This window comes from Homo sapiens, chromosome 4 (genome assembly GCF_000001405.40).
Source record: "Homo sapiens chromosome 4, GRCh38.p14 Primary Assembly".
Lineage (NCBI taxonomy): Eukaryota > Metazoa > Chordata > Mammalia > Primates > Hominidae > Homo > Homo sapiens.
Window position 1 is genome coordinate 108,741,709 of NC_000004.12, and position 23,189 is coordinate 108,764,897.

The 23,189-nt window shown below is 40.2% G+C and overlaps 1 protein-coding gene across 6 annotated transcripts; it reads right to left on the minus strand.

The window, feature by feature from the left end:
- Nucleotides 1-344: 344 nt before the first annotated feature.
- Nucleotides 345-21,345, minus strand: ETNPPL (ethanolamine-phosphate phospho-lyase). 6 transcript variants are annotated; one of them, NM_001146590.2, is made up of 13 exons: nucleotides 21,135-21,345; nucleotides 18,480-18,598; nucleotides 18,041-18,182; nucleotides 14,710-14,784; nucleotides 12,912-13,002; nucleotides 11,187-11,303; nucleotides 9,228-9,310; nucleotides 7,530-7,755; nucleotides 6,297-6,451; nucleotides 5,054-5,143; nucleotides 4,691-4,821; nucleotides 2,081-2,148; nucleotides 345-904 (listed from the first exon to the last, which is right to left on the minus strand). In NM_001146590.2, exons 1-13 carry the CDS (start codon nucleotides 21,188-21,190, stop codon nucleotides 776-778), a joined length of 1,482 nt encoding a protein of 493 aa, NP_001140062.1. In that variant the 5' UTR covers nucleotides 21,191-21,345; the 3' UTR covers nucleotides 345-775. The 6 variants fall into 6 exon arrangements, with proteins under 6 accessions (NP_001140062.1, NP_112569.2, NP_001317961.1 ...); NM_031279.4 differs by having other exon boundaries at nucleotides 18,041-18,200; NM_001331032.2 differs by having other exon boundaries at nucleotides 18,041-18,200; nucleotides 21,113-21,345.
- Between the last annotated feature and the right edge of the window lie 1,844 nt (nucleotides 21,346-23,189).

Consider the following 23,189-nt stretch of genomic DNA (forward strand, 5'->3'; position numbering starts at 1 on the left):
AAAAGATAATTTCTTACCTGACAGGTAAATGACTTGGTTTGGGTGATACAATCCGTGAATAGACAAAGCAGAAGTCTCCTGACTCTGAATGCCCTGCTTCAGCTACTGCTGCTGTTCCAGAAACGTCTTTATGCGTGTATTTCTGTGTATATTCCTTGTTCCCTTCTCAATCCCCACGGGATGGTGATTAACCAAGTTCCTTGCTAGAGGCCTGAATTATTCTATCACTTTTTAATATTTGCTGTTTGTGATTTTTTTCTGAATGACTTTGCTTTTACCATCCCAACCCTTAATATTCCCTGCAAAGGGTAGGTAAACACTTTTCTAGTAATTTTTTTTGTTTACATCATATTTTATTTTATTACAGTCAATAAATATACTTTTATATATGAAATCATTATAGAATACATATTTTAAGGCACTAAGTCTCAAAAGTGAAGGCACCTGTTATACTTTGCTCTCTAATTTGACACATTAAAACATGAGAGGTAAATCTGCCAATTTATTTTGAGTTTGCAAGCTTACAATTTAATAGAATAAATCAGGTAGCTTCAGAAATCAACTAAGAAAATTAACAGGCTAGAGTCTGAACTAATAATCTTGACATGGTTTGATTATCACTTGGTTTATTCTGATTACTCATTTACCTTTTCATTTATGAATCTAAACTGACAATTCCACCTTTAGAGGTATAATAGAGCTATTAACCGATGAGACACATCTACTCATTCTCTGTAACTCTGGACATCGCATCTTGCTTTAAAATGCAAATCAGTCATGTCTTGAGCCTCTTACTGAGCAGTGAATGTGTATCCGTGCACATTCCATTTCTCTTTCTGCTGGGATTTTCTTTGGAGTCAGTGGTGCTGTCCCTAAGCAGTTCTATGTGGGCTTCTTTCAGCATCTGCAAGACAGGCACACAAAGCTCCAGTGGGCATCCACCTCTAATCCAGCCTCCACAGGACTGACTTAACAAGTCCACACACAAACAAAGGACACAGAAAAACCAAACAAAACAACACTGCTTGCTCCTTTCTAACCCTCTCCTCAGTATCTTCAATAGACATTTGAAATGTGATGTCAACAGAAAATCCGGGACTCCGAGTCAACTTTTCATAAAATGTGTGCCAACTTTGCTAACCCTAAAGTGGGATTTCTTGTGCTGAACACTTCTTTTGTTTTGTTTTGTTTCATTTGCAGGACTCTTTAATGCTTGGGGAACCAGTGGTTACAGCTGTGATTCTTAGACTTGATAAACTGTTCTTGACATCAAAGAATAATTGATTCCTATAATTGGTTTGTGTTGTTAGACGAAACAGAAGCCATGCTGTTAGCGAATCACTTGCTCTCATTCAAACAGCCTGATGATTTTAATCATGAAAAAAGACTTTGCTGACTCCATTGGATGCGCAGGCGGGCTCGAGGCACTGAGTGTTCCTTTATGCATCGAACTCATAAACAAATAACAAATTATGCAACAAAGCCTCTCAAGTTTTTGCCTTTCTGTTTCCCAGCCCAGGGTGCTCTTTCTCACACCCTGGGCAGCTCAGGAGAGAATGGCAAGGCCCTCTGCTGGAAGCACATCAAATGCAGAAACTAGGCCAGGCAATGCCAGACAGTTCCCAGGCCCCACTGCCATTCGAAGCTTACGCTTTAGTTCGTTTTAGAACCAAACTCTGGCACTTCAGAACCTCCCTACTAATGCTTCTGCTGATTGTAAAGTCAGTGTGTGAGAATCGGAGGCAGTGTCAGGCAGCCCTCAGGAAAAGCAGGAAGGAGGTTAGGCCGTTTTAATTCTCTCTATATATATTTTATAGGCCCTCTTTGCAGGCCCACAAGGCTGTTTTTGGAATGGGAATGATCCTGTAAGAATGGTTCTTTGGCTTTTGATGCGTCAAATGATGTGACACTTGCTGTGGAAATTTAATTGTGCACTCAAAATTGCAACAATAAGTGAACCTAATACAGGCTGGCATTGTTCTAATGGTCACTGCACAATTTTTTGAAAATTTGTATTCCTTTTTTAAACATTCCCCAAATTTTAAACTTTCCCCCTAAAAATAAAGTAGCCAACCCTTACCTTTGTTTTGCATGGAGTATTCTCAGAGGTCACACTTTCGGTTTTGGTTCCCATAGCTTCTTCTAAAACTGAATCAAGGAAGGTATTATGGAGAAGACAAAATAACATAAAAACCTTAAGAAAAAAACTTTTTGGTATCTTAGCAATACCTTTAATGAAGAATGGAAGGAAATGTTATGTGTTAAAAGAATGGGCTGGGCGCTGTGGCTCATGCCTGTCATCCCAGCACTTCGGGAGGCCGAAGAGGGCGGATCACAAGGTCAGGAGTTTGAGACCAGCCTGGCCAATATGGTGAAACCCCGTCTTTACTAAAAATACAAAAATTAGCCGGATGTGGTGGCACATGCCTGTAGTCCCAGCTACTCGGGAGGCTGAGGCAGAAGAATCACTTGAACCTGGGACACAGAAGTTGCAGTGAGCCGAGATCACGCCACTGCACTCCAGCCTGGGCGACAGAGTGAGACTCTGTCTCAAAAAGAAAAAAAAAAAAATCACTATCAAAATTACTTTAAGATTCTTTTGTAGTATTTTACCATTATCATTTATAAGTGGCACTAAGCCCATTTTACCTACTCCTCATTCACTTTATTCAAAGGAAATTCTTCTGGCCCACTATTAATAACACTCAAGCTCTGAGTTGATGCAGACATAGAGTGACAGATTGCCCCAAGCCACAAGCCACACTCTCTCCTCTACCCTGCCCTATGGGATCAAAGGACACATCTGCTTGTGAGGAATGCTTGCCAGGTCTGGGTGTGAGCATGCTCTCTGAGTCCAAAGACAGTGACCCTATTATTAATAACTTATGTGGACTCTCAAGTTTCCAAACATTCACTATTCATATCTATTTTGTATGCTATATTGATTCCTAGCTTCTTGGCTTTATCCTAACCCCAGAAGGCTGAGAAGCAAGTAGAGAAGTTGAAATTTTTTTTTTTTTTTTTTTTTTGGAGACAGGGTCTTACTCTGTCACCCAGGCTGAAGTGTAGTGGCACGGCTCACTGCAACCTCTGCCTTGCAGTCTCAAGTAATACTCCCACCTCAGCCAAGTCCCAAGTAGTTGGAACTACAGGCGCACGCACCACCATGTCCGGCTAATTTTTGTATTTTATTTTTTGTAGAGACAACCTTTCACCGTGTTGCCCAGGCTAGTCTCCAGCTCCTGAGCTATCCTGATCTCAAGTCAAGCAATTTGCTTACCTTGGCCTCTGGGATCTTATAGGCATGTGCTGCCATGCTGGCCTGAATTGTAAAAATATAACTAAAGCAAAAACGACAATATCTATCATTTTTATCATGATATGCTCTTCAACATGGTTTTACAGTGCTAATTTACTTTCTAATCCAATGTATGTTCATAACAAAAAAATAAATTAACCTAGTTGCATAATATAGGTAAACAAGATATATTTTTATGATAGACTATAATTCTGAATAACAAAAGTCCTCAAAAGTTAAATAGTAAAAGATTTTCAATATTTTAAATATTTTTAAAGAAAAAAGCAAAAGAAAAAAATAAAAATTAAGGCCGGGTGCAGTGGCTCATGCATGTAATCTCAGCACTTTGGGAGGCTGAGGTGAGCAGATCACGAGGTCGGGAGTTCGAGACCAGCCTGGCCCACATGGTGAAACCTGTCTCCACTAAAAATACAAACATTAGCTGGGTGTGGTGGCATGCTCCTGTAGTCCCAGCTACTCAGGTGGCTGAGACAGGAGAATTGCTTGAATCTGGGAGGCGGAGGTTGCAGTGAGCCGAGATCCCACCACTGCACTCCAGCCTGGGTGACACAGCAAGACTCTGTCTCAGAAAATAAATAAATAAATAAAAATTTAAAAATAAAAGTTAAAAATGCAAAGTTAGGCTGGACGCGGTGACTTACGTCTATAATCCTAGCACTTTGGGAGGTCGAGGTGGGTGGATCACCTGAGGTCAGGAATTCGATACCAGCCTGGCCAACATAGTGAAACCCCATCTCTACTAAAAATGCAGAAATTAGCCCGGCATGGTGGCGGGTGCCTGTAATCCCGGATACCTGGGAGGCTGAGGCAGGAGAATCGCTGAAACCCGGGAGGCGGAGGCTGCAGTGAGCCGAGATCACAGCACTACACTCCAGCCTGGATGACAGAGTGAGACTCCATCTCAAAAAAAAAAAAAAAAAAAACCACGCAAAGTTAAGCAATTCAGCATATAGCAAAGAACTGTCACACTGTAGCCTATATAATTTTTTTATTAGAAATGTTTCATGTATTAATCACACAATGCTGAAATACTATATACTGTAGTATTTGTGGTCCATGGCACAATGCAGACATGCACTTTTAAATATGCTAGTCTAAAGTAAAAATAAATGACAAAACTATGTTCTTTCAGCAAAAACTTATATTTGGAGTTATATGAATACAAACTGAAAATTTCAATTTAAGAGTCCATGTAGTTACTTTTCAGCTATCTTTTTCTAGTCCTAAATGGAAAGTTACACATTTATTTCTGCCCTGCCTCACTTCCATCATGAATAACAAGATGCATATGCTCATTATGACTAGACCAGGGTTTGAGGGGTGGGTTTGGGAGAGGGAACAAGAAGACATCTTAAAGATCCATGGACCCACCTGTTAGAATCCTATCAAGTTGGTCCACCATGAACTTTGCATCTTCTTCAGTGAAGCACATAGGTGGTTTTATTTTAAGTACATTTCTATGAGGTCCATCGGCACTGAGAAGCACTCGTTTTTCTTTCATCCTAATTTGTGTAGGAAATACATGTGAGTGTATGCAAAGGATAACTACGATTACTGAAGAATTATGTGAACATAGAGCAGTTTAAGTATTCTGCATTTAAGAAGCCCACATTATAAATAGGATGTATTTAAACTTTCCTTTTTCAGAGGGATGGGAGGAAGTCAAGCAAGCTTTCAAGTGGGTAGGCATCCTGCAGCCAAGATACCAAACAGGTGGGTGTGGGGGTGAATTACTTGTAGATGATGTGCTGAGCTTCAGCTGTGGCAGGGGTCCTTTTCAGATGGTCCTTCACTAAATCAATTCCAATAAAAAGGCCAATGCCCCTGCGAGAGGTGAAGAAAAACTTGACCCACAATCTGTCCAACTCTTCACTGTCACAAAAAGTTAACACTATCACCAAACTTCCATTTAATTTCCAAGTTTAATTCTAACTAAATCAAGATACCAATCTATGTTCACAGTTGTTTCTACTTTTGGAAATAAATTAGTTTTTGTCATCCAGTTTTCTTTTCTCAATTATAAAAGAAAATGGCTTAAAAACAACCCTTTCATGCTATTTAGTTTCTCAGGATGTTAATGATGATAAATGTTAACATTATATATATATATATATATATATAATATATATATATATATTATATATATATATATAATATATATATATATTATATATATATATAATATATATATATATATTATATATATATATATAATATATATATATATTATATATATATATGTCAGTATTTCATACATATATATGAAAAATATCCAGCTTTTCAGAATAGCATTTTAAATAATTTTCAATAAATTATTTAGAGCTACATTAAGTTCCTTCTTTTCATCTTTTGGGTGCTGACATTATCCTAACTTTATTAAAAAAGTATAAAAGCCAGGAAAGACATATACCCAAATGTTTTTTTATTGTTGTTGGTTTATTTATTTATTTTATAGAAACAAGGTTTCTTGTTATGTTGCCCAGGCTGGTCTCAAACTCCTGGGCTCAAGCAATATTCCTGCCTCTGCCTCCCAAGGTGCTGGGATTACAGATGTGAACCACCACATCCGGCCCCACCCAAATGTTAACAGTGGTGATATCTGGATTCTGGAATAAGAATAATTTTTGCTATCTCTCTTTTTTGGTGTTTTCCAGATTTAGTTTTATGTACTTTATTATAAACTTACAAGATAAAATATAAACTATTATTATTATTGTTAGAGACGGGATTTCACCCTATCACCCAGGCTGGAATGCAGTGGCACAATCTCGGCTCACTGCAACCTCTGCCTCCCAGGCTCAAGTGATTCTCATGCCTCAGCCTCCCGAGTAGCTGGGACTATTTGTGTGTGCCACCACACCTGGCTAATTTTTTGTAGTTTTAATAGAGACGGGGTCTCACCATGTTGCCCAGCCTATAAACTATTATTATTTTGAAAAAAATGAGTAACTACATGACAACTTCATAATGAACATACCTAATATCTCCTATCAAAGTGTGTTTAGCCTTCTGTTTTTTCAGTAACTCAGTGAGATAATTCCCTACTCTCTTGGCATTTCCTTGAAGGTCTTCATTTTCAATTATATCCAGGACAGCCAAACCAACAGCACAAGATACTGGATTTCCTCCATACTGTAAAAAAAAAAAAGACAAATGAGAAAATATACCAGTTGAATGAGTGGTATTCCCTCATCCATGAGAAATTTGGCTCATACATACATAAGTGAAGATATAATTTAAATAAAATGTTCTCTTATAATATTAGTTTCTCATATTTAGAATAGAGCATGATTCTATATATTCAGGACTGAGTGAAAATTCATTCTAAATTATATTATCCAAGCTGCATAACTGGTATGAAGGACTACCAGTGATTTTATTTGCTCATCCAAACAAAAGCAGACATTATGTTGGGAGTTCAGGATTTCATAGTGTTGCCCAGTGAGGGAAATAGGGGTTTCTGCCCTTGAAGAGCTGAGTAAAAGTAGCTAAGCAATGACATTTTCCCCAAGCAATTTATGTCCTCAGATTTGAATCTTACTTTTAGCTGTAACAAGTCGTATTATATATACTGAACAAACTACAATAATTTTTCCAAGCTTAAAGCTTATGGGGATAAGTCAAAAAAATATAATATCCCAAAGATAAAAATTTAGTATCTCTTATGACAGCTGTATAACATTTATAGTACTGAGTCATAAAAATACTTTAAAAGTGTTTTGGAAATTTAAGTATGATATGAAACAAAGAAATGAAAATATCATAACCTGTAGAATTTAGCAGGGCAACCATCTATCATTGGAAAAATTAATAAGCCTGTTTTAGGACAGGTAAAGATACACAAGCAGAAATACAAGGAGCATTTTGTCAGACAGAATAAAATCTGGTTAGATAAAAGTTTGGCCATATCTAATGCATGTGGGACTTAAAATCTAGATGACGGGTTGATAGGTGCAGCAAACCACCATGGCACATGTATACCTATGTAACAAACCTGCACATTCTACTCATGTATCCCAGAACTTAAAGTATAATTTTATATATATATGTAAGTATTTAAGATGTTTTATTAAAATAAGAAAAAACTTTGGCCAGAGTTCTGGGTGGTTAGCCGGCAATACTGAGCTTTATTCTTTACTACATTGGCAAAAAATATAAGAACATGCATTATTTTTCCTTCTTAGCATTAAAGTTGGAGACCAAAATGTACCGTATTAAAATATTCCATCCCAGAGCTGCTGAAGGCTTCTGCAATTTCTTTGGTTGTTACCACACATGCCACCGGGTGGCCGTTGCCCATCGGTTTTCCCATTGTGACGATGTCTGGAACAAAGTCTTCACCATACATCTGGAAGCTCCAGAAATGTTTCCCAACTCTGCCAAAGCCCACTTGAACTTCATCAGCTATAAACACACCCCCTGCACCGTGTACATATCTGAAAAGCAAAGCGGCAGTCTAATGCCTTCAGGTCACTGAGATCCCCAAACCCACCCACAAAGATGCAAATTATTGAAGACAAAAAAAAAAAGTTGTTAACCTGAAGCCTTAATTTTTCTTAAAAAACATTTCAGTACTCTAAACCCCACATAAATGTCATTGACTTTACAATATAATCACATAATTTTTAGATTAGATATATTCCATACCAGTTGGGTTTGTGCTACTTAAAGTAAGCTATATTGCAGTATTTTTTTTTAAGAGATGGGGTCTCACTCTGTTGCCCAGGCTGGAGTGCAGTGGTATGATCAAACTCCCTGTAACCTCAAACTCCTGGGCTCAAGCCATCCTCCCACCTCAGCCTCCCCAGTAGCTGGAACTACAAACGTGTGCCACCATGCCCAGATAATATTTTTAAAAAGGTTTTGTAGAGAGGGGGGTCTTGCTATGTTGCCCAGCTGGTATTGAATTCCTGGCCTCAGGTGATCCTTCTGCTTTGGCCTCCCAAAGTGCTGGGATTATAGTGCATGAGCCACAGCACCCAGTCCTATTACCATATTACCTTTTAAGTGGGAAGAGAAAGAATCAAACAAGTAGTTGTTAACAGGGTTAGTCTTCAAATATTTACTAATTGGGAAGGCTTGTGTAATGGTTAATACTGAGTGTCAACTGGATTGAATTGAAGGACACAAAGTATTAATCCTGGGTTCCTGGGTATGTCTGTGAGGGTGTTCCCAAAAGAGATTAACATTTGAGTCAGTGGGCTGGGGAAAGCAGATCCATGCTTAATCTGGTGGGCACAATCTAATCAGCTGCCAGCGAATATAAAGCAGGCAGAAAAATGTGAAGAGGAGAGACTGGCCTAGCCTCCCAGCCTACATCTTTCTCCCATGCTGGATGCTTCCTGCCCTCAAACATCAGACTCCAGGTTCTTCAGTTTTGGGACTTAAACTGGTTGTCCTTGCTCCCCACCTTGCAGACAGCCTATTGTGGGACATTGTGATCATGTAAGTTAATACTTAATACCGCCGTGTGTGTGTGTGTGTGTGTGTGTGTGTGTATGATATGTGATATATATACGATATATATGATATGTGATATATATACAATATATATGATATGTGATATATCATATATGATATATATAGGATATATATATATCCTATTAGTTTGGTCCCTCTAGAGAACCCTGACCAATACAGATTTGGTACTAGCCAATCAGAGAGGATGCAGGCTGGAGGCTGGAGCAGAGTTCTGAACCCCCGCTGTTGGACCATGTGTAAACCTTGTACTTGCTGGATCTTGGGGAAGGCTGAGAGAGCATCCAGGAGTCCTGGGTTGGCAGGCACTCAGGTGTGGCTATTTACCAGCTAATCAGGAATTATTTTAATATCTTAGCAACTAGTATGGCCCTACAGAATTGTCACAGTGCTCTCAGTTTGACCAAGGAGGCCCAAGTCAAGTACATACTCTGCCACTTTCTGGAAGTAGCCTGCTGGAGGAATTATTTGTCCGCCACAACTCTGCATGGATTCAGCAATAAAGGCAGCAATCTATACAAGAGAAGATGGTGTCAAAGTCCATTAGGTCCCCCTACAACCCCCCTAAAAAGAGTATATCTTATAGAGCAGGTTATTTTAAAAATGGCTAGGAATAGACCTGTAGCAAGTGGCAAATTAGCCATTTGATTAAAGAAAAAGGAAAAGGTGTCTATGCAGGAAAAGCAATTGATTTAAAGCATTAACTTCTGAAAATCTAGGGTACCAATAAAGCTACCATGAGAAATAGAGGAGATGAGAGCGCAACTTCCATTTCTCCATCATTACATGCAGCAGTTTCATTAGGATGAACTGAATAAGACTGCTATTTTTATTAGTCTTTGGTTATGAACCTGTAAAAAGTTACCTAGGTCCAAAGGCATTGTCGTGATGCCTGTTTCTTAAGCTTGGTGAAGTAGGGCTGCTTGAGGCTGGAATTTGCACCATGAAAGTGGCAGGGTGGTTTGTGGCCACACACTGTAGTTACTGTGCCGTATTTCTAGGTTTTGCCCTAAACCACGCTTAACTCAACAGTGGGCAGTTAACAATAGGAACTACAGATGAATCATTCTAGAGACTAAGAAAAGAGAAGTAGGAAACAGATAATGTTGAAGAGAAAGCACAAAGAATGTGAGATAAGAAATCAAGAGAACCCAAGTTCTAGTTCAGACTACCCCTTAGTAATTGTATGACCTTGGGTTAAATCCTTCACTTTTTAGATATTTGGTTTCTTAGCTGTAAAATGAGGCTGTTGGACTCAAGACTTTTGCTGTACAATTCCATGACTTTGCAAGCACATCTAATATTCTGAAGCACTGATCTTATATTTGTTCATTGCTTTCAGCACTGCTAATATGACAGCAACAATCCAATAAATGTTGAATGCTAATGTTCTCAAAAAATTATTCAAACCCTCTTTTAGCAGCAAAGAGTCCGTAAGATCTTGTTAATGTAAATTTTTTCCTAAAAGTGTTGTTTGCCATTTGTTTAAACAGGTACAGACCACATTTGAAGAGGAAGAGTATGAAGCTTCCTACAACACGTAGAGCTTTAGGTCTACCTGCACAGATGTTTCACATAAGAAGATACGAAAAACAAATGGGTTGGGGAAAAAAAAGAAGAAACAGTTAAGAAATGTGAATGGCTCTCTAGTCATGAAGACAAAAATATTTGAGTTAATTATAAAAAGAAAAGGCCTCATTTTTATTTCAGTTAAGGTTTTTTTTTAAAATAGCCAAGTCTATGCTATAAGCCAATTTTAAGGCAAAGTACTGTCAGGTTGCATTAACATCCACATAAATAACCTACAGATGGGCTGAGAATTGAACATTAAGCTGAAGACAGTAGGGTGAAGACCAAGAAAGTGAAAACAATTTTTTCCTGCTCTCAAGGATTTTGTTTCTGTCTTAGAAGTCCAGGCCCACATCGGAAGAACATTTTCTGCCTTGGCTTACCCAGGTGCAAACCAGCCCCAGGCTCCATGGCTTCAAGAAGGTCGAAGTTCAAGGGAAGCACCAAGGCTCCCTTGTGGGTCTGGAAATCTGCATTGGTCCTCAGGTCCAAGGGCTACTTTGTCTCTTCTCTTCCCTTCACCATATAATGACCCCTACCCCTCTAGACTAGACCCTGCATACCACTGAAAAGGTCAGAATTAGGCAACCAGTTCTGGAACCAGATAATGGTTGTATTTCCAGGATAAATACAAGTAGACAGTCTTAGAGGCATGATTGTAATAACGCATTTTTGAAATTTGAATCAAGTGAAAACGTAACTAGAGAAGAACAGAAAGGGACATTAGATATAATCCTTTTCCATCTCTTCAGTGAATCCCAACAGTTTTAATCCCTTTTATAAAAGATGTTGAGATGTTTCCAAAGCTATAAATACAAACCTTCCTTCCACTGTTATGAGCATCTTCAATGATTTTCTTCACTTCATCTGCATAAGCACTGGCTGAGTCTGCATGGTCTTCTCTATATTTTCCTCTGTAAGTATCTGGAGTTGGTGCCTGAAAACATCAAATAATGCAGTTGCTTGTAATTTGCCTTTTCGACAAACCTTAAAAAAAAGGCATTTCCCCACAAGAACATGTTAGAATGGTGATCATGTGAACTTAAGATACTTTAGGTTTTTTTGTTCTTTTTTTCCCTTAACATTTCTAAATTCTGTGAAGAACTGACATCTTTGAATTGTGAACAGAAGTTTGGATTTGCTTCCAGACTGTTATACATCAAGACTATATCCCTCCTCACATAAATAGAACATTCAAATCAACAAATGTGATGATAGTATTTAAAAATGTCAGTGAATGGAAACTGTATTAACTAGTCTGGATTTAAAATGAGCCAACACCGATCAACTATATTGCAAATCGTAATCATTCAGAAAACTAGAGTGTGTTAGCACTCACTCCAGATCTTAAAATCTTGAAAATATTGATGATTCTCAAGAAATTTGGCCAGGCGCGGTGGCTCACGTCTGTAATCCCAGCACTTTGGGAGGCTGAGGTGTGCAGGTCTCTTAAGGTCAGGAGTTTGAGACCAGCCTGGCCTACATGATGAAACCCTGTCTCTACAAAAAATACAAAAATTAGCAGGGCTTGGTGGTGTATGCCTGTAATCCCAGCTGCTCGGGAGGCTGAGGCTGAAGAATCGCTTGAACGCTGTAAGCGGAGGTTTCAGTGAGCCAAGATCGTGCCACTGCACTCCAGCCTAGGTAGCAAAATGAGACTCCGTCTCAAATAAATAAGAAAGAAAGAAAGAAAGAAAGAAAGAAAGAAAGAAAGAAAGAAAGAAAGAAAGAAAAGAGAAGAAAAGAAAAGAAAAAAAGAAATTATACTGTTCCTCAGTTAAGACAAACACACCAAATAAATTTCACCTTTTCAACAACTTGGTTGGTTTCTTTATTTTACTTAATAAAGCTATATAATAATTTAGCATTATTATACAGAGCAATTTACTTTTTCTTTTCTTTTTTTTTTTTTTTTTTGAGATGGAGTCTCACTCTGTCACCCAGGCTGGAGTGCAGTGGCACGATCTTGGCTCACTGCAACCTCCACCTCCCAGGTTCAAGCGATTCTCCTGTCTCAGCCTCTCAAGTTGCTGGGACTACAGGCACCTGCCACCACACCTGGCTAATTTTTGTACTTTTTTTAAGTAGAGACAGGATTTCGCCATGTTGTCCAGGCTGGTCTTGAATTCCTGACCTCCAGTGATCCGCCCACCTCGGCCTCCCAAAGCCCTAGAACTACAGGCACGAGCCACTGTGCCCGGCCAAGAGCAATTTAAAAACACACTTAGTTCAACTCTGAATTTTGAGTTGGCATTTGTGATAGAAAATGTAACTGAAGATTAAGGAGCAAGAAAAATAAAATGATAGCTCTGAACAACTACTAAACTAATTTGCCTATTGTAATACTCATCAATGTATTTTAAATAGATAAATAAATTTTAAATAACATTCTGTCATTATTTAGCCCTTTGACCTTAGCAAGCCACATAACTGCTCTTGATTTTAGTTTCTCTTTCATGGTTCATCTAGATGAAAGCATTGGCTGGATTATCATTAAGCATTCCTCCAATACAAACATTCTGATTTAGGATTTTAAGACACTTACCACATGTACAAATTCTTTTTTGACATCTTTTCCTTTCTGAAACTTATATGGGCTAATCTCAATTAAGGATGATAGGTGACCATGGTAAGCACTGAAGAGACAAAGAAAAAAAAGCAGTAATCAAAATAATTCCAAGAGAGATATTTTCAAGTATATGAAAACCAGTGTTGCATTTCATCCATATGCATCCATCCAGGGAGAATCTCAACACTGGTGCCAGATTTGACTATATGGGATCTAATTTTTCATGGCAAGACTGGCCCTTAATGTGTACAATTCTTCTTTTACATGTAATAAAACTCATAGAAAGCCAAGCATGTGTCCTCATTGACAATTTCTTTTTAGTTGGGAAAAACTGATGTATTTGGATTATATTGCTAAATTAGATTGTCTAAATGTGAAAAATTGTTTTCTATATCCTCATGCAATACTTTACGTGTATGTATTCTTTAAATGTGTTAAAAGAATATGTGTTACATTCTAGTAAATTTAAAAACAACTTTATATCATAGAATGGGCATCTGTTTCTGTTCGGGATGATTTCTAAAGCATGTCCACTTGCAAATATTAGGCAAATATTACTTGAGAAGGAAAAGGAGATCTTTTTAAGAACTAAGATTGAGGCTAGCCATATGCAGAAGAATGAAACTAGACTCCTGCCTTTTATCATATACAAAAATTAACTCAACATGGATTAAAGACTTAAATTTAAGACTTAAAACTGTAAAAATCCTAGAAGAAACCCCAGGAAATACCATTCTGGACATCAGCCTTGGCAAAGAATTTATGAATAAGTTCCCAAAAGCAATTGGGAAGGGCATGAAATGAGGTGCATATTTAACTTCACCCTCTACATCTGAAGTTAGTGAGTGGGGTGGAGGAGTAGACAAAAATTTAAAAGAAAAAATATCCGTAGGCTAGCCTCGGTGGCTCACGCCTGTAATCCTAGCACTTTGGGGGGCTGAGGCGGGTGGATCACTTAAGGTCAGGAGTTCGAAACCAGCCTGGCCAACATGGTGAAAACCTGTCTCTACTAAAAATACAAAAAAAGTTAGTTGGGCATGGCAGCGGGCACCTATAATACCAGCTAATTCCAGAGGCTGAGGCAGGAGAATTGCTTGAACCCAGGAGGCGGAGGTTGCAATGAGTGGAGATCGCGCCACTGCACTCCAGCCTGGATGACAGAGCGAGACTCCGTCTCAAAACAAACAAACAAACAAACAAACTCTAATAAAGATGGAAGTTGCCAGATTTCTGGTTTAAAATGTAATAAATTCATGTTTGACAGGTAAGATTAGATAGTGACTGTTAATAATTACAGGCTAATGAAAAAGTTTTAAATCTTACGTGGCTGCCGGTTTTCTTTAAAATTTGCTGTAAATTGTTATCTTTAAAATTAGTGACTGCGAATAATCACAATAGTGAAGTGAATGCTTGAACTTTTTTTGAAATTAATTGTATTCTTATTTGGAAAACAATTTAATTACTTACATGTTAATAGTGGCTCAATGAATAATGTGTGAAAAGTAATCCATGATTCATGCAAACTCCATGAAGCTACATCCCCCACAGTAACCAAGAGAGCCTCTCCTACTTCCTGGTACTTAGAAGGAATTAAATATCCCTCTGGATTTAAGCTGGCCTTGATAGCTTAATACATAATTTTTAAAAACATTAAAACATTGCTCCATATATCTGTCCTCTTTCACATGCGTTCATGGTATTAGTATGGATAGGATCAATACAATTTTGTCTCTGAAGAAGCTTCTTGCTTAAAAATCTTGTGTCCAAGACTTACTGGTCAAGAGTGATCACATCCTGGTGGCCTCTGAACTGCCGAGCCAGGCGTAAGGCTAAGTCGTTGGCTTCGGATCTATTAAGATAACATAGAGAGAGAGGACACTGTGACAGTCTCTTTTTAAAACATTTAGGATGTGCCAGGCACGGTAGCTCACGCCTGTAATCCTAGCGCTTTGAGAGGCCAAGGAGGGCCGATTGCCTGAGCTCAGAAGTTAGAGACCAGATTAGGCAACCCGTCTCTACTAAAATACAAAAAATTAGCCAGGCGCAGCAGCGTGCGCCTATAGTCTCAGCTACTTGGGAGGCCGAGGCAAGAGAATTGCTTCAACCTGGGAGGTGGAGATTGCAGTGAGTGGAGATTGCCCCACTGCACTCCAGCCTGGGTAACAGACTGAGACTCCATCTCCAGAACAACAACAAAAAAAAACATTTAGGATGTTAATTACAAAAGTTGTAAGATTACATTTATTCAGAAACTTATAAAATAATAAGTTGAAATCCTCTCCTTCCTCTATCTTGCCTGCCCACTTTACCCTTCTAATATAAGGTTCCTTAGATGTTTTCAGTAAAGAATGAGACATATAGAAGAAACCCAATAAAAATTAAGGATATGCTGCCCATTCCAGACTTTAGTCTAGTTCAGCCACATAGTGACTGAGGACACGAAGAAGCCTTCACTAAATCTGATCTCCACAGGAGGAATGGGAGACTGAGGGCCCATTAGCTTGGCTGCCAACCCTATGTCATATTTACCCAACATTTGACTAGCTTCCTTCTCTATAAAATGAGTATCAAATTTTTTCCTATATATTTCAGACAATCTAAATATACTACCCAAAAAAAGGAAGAAAATAATAATAAGTGGAATGTTTACTATCCGTTAAACATCATGCTGAGGATTTTACTTGTATTTTTTCTCATAACAGCATTACAAGTATTGCCATCTCCTTTATATGGATAAAACAGCCTCAGAGAGGTAAAGTAATCAGAATAAGGTCTCATAGCTAATATGAGGTAGAGCAGGATTCAGACTGAAGACTTTTTTACTTTTAAGAGTATTTTGTTGGCCAGACATGGTGGCGGTGGCTCACGCCTGTAATCTTAGCAATTTGGTAGGCCAAGGCGGGAAGATTTCTTGAGGTCAGGAGTTCAAGATCAACCTGACCAATCTAGCAATACCTTGTCTCTAAAAATAATAAAGTAATTTTTTAAATTAAAAAAATAGAATATTAGTCTTGGCTGGGTGCGGTGACTCATGTCTGTAATCCTAGCACTTTGGGAGGCTGAAGCGGGCAGATTGCTTGAGCCCATGAGTTTGAGACCAGTCTGGGCAACATGGTGAAACCCCATCTCCACAAAAAATACAAAAATTAGCCCAGGCATAGTGGGTTATGTAACCCCTATGGGTTACAGGGGCTCACCCTGTAACCCCAACACTTTGGGAAGCCGAGCCAGGCACAGTAGTGTGACCACCATGCTGGACATAAATTGGTTTTAAAATATCTTAATGGAAAGTGAATCACAGAGAGTCATATAATCAAATATTCACGGAATGTCTAATAGTTAATTTTCATATATATTTCTTTCTTTTTTTTTTTTTTTTTTTGACGGAGTCTCACTCTGTCGCCAGGCTGGAGTGCAATGGTGTGATCTTGGCTCACTGCAACCTGACTGCAATTCTCCTGCCTCAGCCTCCCAAGTAGCTGGGACTACAGGCACACACCACCACGTGCAGCTAATTTTTGTATTTTTAGTAGAGACAGGGTTTCACCATGTTGGCCAGGATGGTCTTGATCTCTTGACCTCGTGATCCACCCTCCTTGGCCTCCCAAAGTGCTGGGATTACAGGCATGAGCCACCACGCCGAACCATATTTCGTTTTTAAAATAGGAGTTTCTACTATATATCTATAAAGCTTTCCCCAATATAATATTGCACTTTAAGCACATATTTAGACATGCATTTGCAAAAACATACTCCTAAATATCTGCATAATAGTCTATAGAATGGATATATAATGATTTGAATTTACAGAATTTAAAAGTTGGGGCCAGGCACGGTGGCTCACACCTGTAATCCCTGCACTTTGGAAGGCTGAGGTGGGCAGATTGCTTGAGTTCAGGAGTTCAAGAGCAGCCTGGGCAACATAATGAGACACTGTCACTAAAAATCAAACAAAACAAAACAAAAAACTAAGTTAAAAAGTTGAGGCAGCCCGAGGTGCCTGCCTGGAGATGGCCAGCCTGTGGGTGTTGGTGCTGGCCCCAGGGTCCCCACGCTGACCCCGAGGCGCTGCTGGTGGCCCTGTGCATGGCCTTCCAGACCAGCCCGCATCTCTTGGGGCTCCTTCTGGCTGGGCACGGTTGCTCATGCTTGCAATCCCAGCACTGGGAGGCCGAGGCGGGTGGATCACCTGAGGTCGGGAGTTTGAGACCATCCTGACCAACATGGAGAAACTCCATCTCTACTAGAATACAAAATTAGCTGGGTGTGGTGGCGCATGCTTGTAATCCCAGCTACTCAGGAGGCTGAGGCAGGAGAATCACTCAAACCCGGGAGGTGGAGGTTGCAGTGAGCAGAGATAGTGCCATTACACTGCAGCCTGGGGAACAAGAGCGAAACTCCATCTCAAAAAAATAAATAAATAAATGAAAGTTGAAATGTATCTATTTGAGTTTCCTTCTTTTTTCTTTTCTTATGTTTGTATTGGGGAAATATGCTCAATTTTCAACAATCAAAAATCTTTAAAAAGTCTAGCTTGTTGCCAGGCGCAGTGGCTCACGCCTGTAATCCCAGCACTTTGGGAGGCTGAGGTGGGTGGATCACAAAAAATTAGCTGGGCGTTGTGGCGGGTGCCTGTAATCCCAGCTACTTGGGAGGCTGAGGCAGGAGAATAGCGTGAACCTGGGAAGCGGAGCTTGCAGTGACCTGAGATCACACCACTGCACTCCAGCCTGAGCGACAGAGCAAGGCTCCATCTCAAAAAAAAAAAAAAAAAAAAAAAAGTTTTAGCTTGTTTACTAGAGTTATTTCTTGGCTAAAGTTACTCATACACTCATTGAAAGAATATCTTGGCCTATCAATCCTTCAGCTACTTATTGCACTGCCTGAGGAGGTGAGCATCATTTGATCAGTTAGATTCACAGTCGTAGAATAAAGTGGGAGAACCAGAAAGGCTAGGTCCCTAATGTGTGATCACTTAGTGAATGGCAAGAAACTCAGCAAACCCTTTTGGACAAGCTCCACCATGAATCAAAAGGAAAGATTTGTGTGCAAGAGTAGACAAAGTTTAGTGGGAATGGGGAGGGGTGGGAAACCATGAAGCATACCCTGAATTTGTAAAATAACAAACAGAGAGTTTCTCCGGCAGAGTTGCTGAAAGGCGTTTGGCATACTCAACAATGTTGTCGTGGAGGAATCGAGAATTTGTATTTAGCAGTTCCATCTGTTTCAGGGCAGCTTTGACCACTCCTGGGTGACAGTGTCCCACTAAAATTTATGAAACAAAAGCCCAAGAAATAAGTTAGAATTCTAAGTGCCTGGGAATAAGAGGAATTATGAAGCAAGCAAGCAAGCAAACAAACAAACAAACAAAAGTTGAGTTCCTTTCTCTTCCATATTTTGCTGCGATTTTCCCCACTAGGACTACTGGCCCACTCAGCAAAGGAACTGCAGCCACTGCAATTCCCCAAACAAAAATTAAGTGTTCCAAGTCAGCTTTACTCCATGAACATTTCCTCCAAAGCACTGCAAGGACAGGACATTTACCATGGGCAACATTGTTGATGCAGTCCAAGTACTGTTCACCGTTCTCATCAAACATGTACTGCCTCTGGGCTCTCACTATTTTGATGGGATCCGATGCAAAGAAAACTTTGCATGAGGGCCTAGAAATAATCAAAGGAAACACTTTGGTCTGGTAGGACTACTCTCAGTATTTTTCCTTCTCAATGAAGGTCCCCATCAGTGGAAAAGTACAGTTACATAAAGGAAAGGGAAAACACAACCTGGATGACATACATTTCTTTTCATTTCATGTAAACCTGGAAACTTTTATGTTAATCCCCCATTCATGACATTGTTCACATTCCTTATGCTTGTTATATTAAATATGCCATGATTTGACAATTTATTAGAGGCACAGGAATCCACTCTCTGATGGTTCTAATCACACAGACCAATAACTAATTTTCCTTTGAGAAATTTTGTTCTATCAGAAAAAAAATAACCAAGTTTTTTTGGGGGGCTTAATGTGTCAGAAGCTGTTATATATTTTGTAAATATTATTTAATCCTGTCAACAATCCTATGAAAGAGAGGTTATTATCTTTCTCACTCTTATAGGTGAGGAGACCAAGGCACAGAGAAATTAAGTAACTGGTTTAAGGCTACACAGACAGTAAATGAGAAAACCAGAATTTGCAAGTAGGCTGTGTTGTGCTGTAGCCCAAGGTAGACATCTCTGTTTCCCCTTCAATCTAATGTATAAAGACATGAATAGCACTGAAAGCTAAATGCAAATAACCTAGAGTTAAATACTACGCAGGAAGTTTTATAGATTATTTTCATTTTCATGTATTTTGAGTGGTACTTGTCCAGTATCAAATGGATTTTCCATTATTAAATAGTGAAATTCAATTATTCTTCTAAGCATTTAATATGTTTTTTGAGCATAATAAGGTCATCCATACTTTTATTTGGATGAATGGCTGGATTATACATTTTAGCACATAGAAATTTCACAAAGGCTTCTAATCTTGGCTTTATGAACATTTAAGAACTAAAGTTAAATATATTTATTTATTTTGGTGATTTTGCATACATACAAAAAAACCCTCACACACATTGGAGGTAGTTCTAGTAGTAGAAATATACTAAATTGATATGTAACTGTTTAGAAGGAATTTTGATTATTACAAACAGTAGGTAACCTCAAATTTTAAAATTGCATAAGGTTGTGTTATATATTGATTTTTTTTAAGCATCATCAGCTGAAATGAAAATAGTATTTTATAAGAATTTCTTATTGGTTCAAACTCAGCTGTTAGTTTATACCTACAAGTTAAAATCCAAAAAAAAACTTTGTTAAGGATGTGAGCTGAAAGCTGCAGACTTCACATTGCCTTTTTAATACACTTTCCACCTTGCCCGTCAGACTTCAGGTAAAATTCTCCTTTATCCAGTCAGCCCATGGCTACACTCGTGCTTTTAGAAAATTTGTTCTGCTCATGTCAGAAACCATTAGGCATTTACCGGAATCTAACTAAGATTGAAAACTAACGCAGTGAGTGATTAGAAAAAGTAGGGTAGTGATTGATTAATGGGGAAAGAACTGGATTATTTTGATCCCACTTAGCGGCTGAGAGAGATGGAACTAGTCTTCCAAACCACCCAGAAACCCCTCCAGTTGGGGTGAGGAGCTTCAGTCTGAGAAACTGTCCAGCATTCCTCCGAAGAGGATGCGGATTGTTTTCTTCCTTGTAACCCCAAGTGCTCTCTCATGCCCACTGGCCCGGCTGCAGTCGTTCATTTCAAGTGAATATTGCAGACGGTTGACTTTACAGTATTCGGGGTCATTAATCATCATTTATATTTACACGTATCTTTTTAAAAACCACGCACAAAACACTAACATATTAATCTCATCTTCTTGCTCCTGTGAAGTAGAATGTTATTCCTACTTTCATAGAAGAGACAATTAATTTGACAGAGGTCCACACAGGGAATATGACATCCAACGAGAGCTAGAGCCCCTGTCGGTCTTATATACTCACCTTTATATTACTAAGTCGTTTGTGACGGGGGCAAGACAAGCAGGCTGGGAAGAACACAGCTTGGGAGAGCAAGTTGGGTAAGAGGGATCTAAATAAAGTCTCTGCTTTTCTAACAGAAGGTGGTTTCAAGTTTTTCTATTGGCTAGATAAACCCTTCATCACTTAACCAAGCATGCAAGAAGAAAAAGCTCACTTTAAGTAAAAATTGTCAGAATTGGTTTGTTTGCGGAGCCATCATGAAAAAATATTTCTCAGTTCACAGTTTCCAAAAACTTTCGAGTTGTGTGGGGGTGGCGGAGCGCTATCCTTCTTCCACCCATCTCCCATCCCTGGAATGGTGTCTGCTAGGGCTATTGGCCGTCATCCACCAACCCCTCTAGCCGGCCGGCAGCCCCCGCTAGTCCGCCGGCTGCAGAGCGAGCCGGGGACTTTCGAGCGGGCAGGAAGCCCAGCGTTCCGGGTTCCAGGAGCGTTTCTGGGAGTCCGCGCGGCCCCTGCAGGTGGAGGCGCGCGGGGCGCGTGCACAGGCGCGGCGGGCACGGAGTGCGGCTGCAGCGCATCGTTTGTTCCCTAGCCGGCTTTCTCTCTCCACCTTCTGCACTCGTTATTGCCCCCTCTCTGCACTTACTTCCGGGCCAGGGTGCCCTTACCCGATGTGCTTCTTCCTCAGCCCCAGAGTGTCCCGCTTACTGTACAGCTCGCACATGGTGGCGGGGTGCAGGGCGCTGCGAAGGTGCAAGGTGCAAGGTCTGCGCGCCTCCTACGCGAGCCTGGGACTGCCTTGGCGGCCCCGGCCGGCCTTCCTCCCGTTATCCCTCCTGGCGTTCTCTTGCCCGGGGCGTCGGAGGTCACCGGTGGCGTCAACTAGCTAGGATCATCTCCCTTTTAAGTCTGGCTCTGGCGTTGCCCTTTGCCAAGCCCCTCCTCCTCCCCCGCCGGGGCCGCGGGCAGGTCGCCGGGCTAGCAGCTCATTCGCCACCACCCTGTCCTGCCAGGCCGGCTCGGCCCTACCCGCCCCTATCATTCCTCTGAATTCGCCTTTCATTCTCCTAACTTTGCCTCGTCTTTGCTTTTCCTCCTCCTCTGCCTGCGAATTCCCTCCTTCCCACGTTCTTTCTGGTTTCTTTTTAGTGTAGTCCTTTATTTTCTGGTAAAAATTCAGGAGTTAGGCGCTTCCCGGATCAAGACTCACTGCGCAGTCTGATAAGGTAACCTACCATTTACTCAGCACAAGGACGCGTCCTAACGAGAAATAACCCGGACTCAGCCTGTTATCTCCATTGGCAGTGATGATATATGCAGTGTTTCAAACATCTCCTTTAACAATGATTACACTTCTAATTCCTCTAACTATACAACTTACAAAACACATTCACATGACTTATCTTGTTCAGTCTTCAAAACAACCCTGAGAGATGACCACGAGTGTTACCCCATTTAATGAACGGGGAAAGTGAGGTTATTCCCTGTTCTAATGATTATATATCCACTTGATGCTGAAAACGGGACTCATTCTTAGATTTCTTGACTTCCTTCAAGATGGTCTTCTCACACAGATCATATCTGAAGCTAAATATGTGCACAGGTAGAAACTTTTTTTTTTTTTTTTTTTTTTTTTTTTTTTTTGAGGATGGAGTCTGGCTCTGTCACCCAGGCTGGAGTGCAGTGGCGCAATCTCGGCTCACTGCAAGCTCCGCCTCCCGGGTTCACGCCATTCTCCTGCCTCAGCCTCCCGAGTAGCTGGGACTACAGGCGCCCGTCACTACGCCCGGCTAATTTTTGTATTTTTAGTAGAGATGGGGTTTCACCATGTTAGCCAGGATAGTCTCGATCTCCTGACCTCGTGATCCCCCCGCCTCGGCCTCCCAATAGAATCTTAATTAACTGAATCATTAAATCATACATTATTTTAACTAGAAGTCATCTGGTTTAACTTCTCTGCTCTGTAGATAAGAACAGTGAGGCACAGGAAAGGTGAAGGTTTATTCAAGTTCACACAAACACTTAGTCATTGGGTTAAGGATAGGTCATTTTATTCTCTCTGTGTTTTGAAAGGGCAGCAGGGAAAGCCTAATTTGCATGTATCAACACATTTGATAAGTATTTGCAACTGATCTTTCTCTTGAAAAAAGTTATTAATATATATTCATGCACTGCAGGAGGAGTAGAATTGGATTGCCTAAGGTAGAAAGAGAAATGGAGTCCTATGAGGAACAGTGTGTTAATTCCAGATTTTAGGCCAGGCGCCGTGACTCACGCCTGTAATCCCAACATTTTGGGAGTCCAAACTGGGCGAATCACCTGAGGTCTGGAGTTCCAGACCAGCCTGGCCAACATAGCAAAACCCCATCTCTACTAAAAAAATACAAAAATTAGCTGGGCGTGGTGGTGGGCACCTGTAATCCCAGCTACCCAGGAGGCTGAGGCAGGGAGAATTGCTTGAACCTGGGAGGCAGAGGTTGCAGTGGGTTGAGATCATGCCACTGCACTCCAGCCTGGGCAACAGAGTGAGACTCCATCCCCCTCCACAAAAAAAAGAAAAAAAAAAGAATTCCGTGTTTTATAAATGAAGAGCAGGAAGCACTTTGGAGACTTGCAAGAAATCCCAGTTATGTAATCTTGGTCTAGTTCTGTGCCTGAAAGATATTGCCAACTGTATATCTACTCTCAAACCACCTTGACCTGGTGAAGTCATAGTCACACTT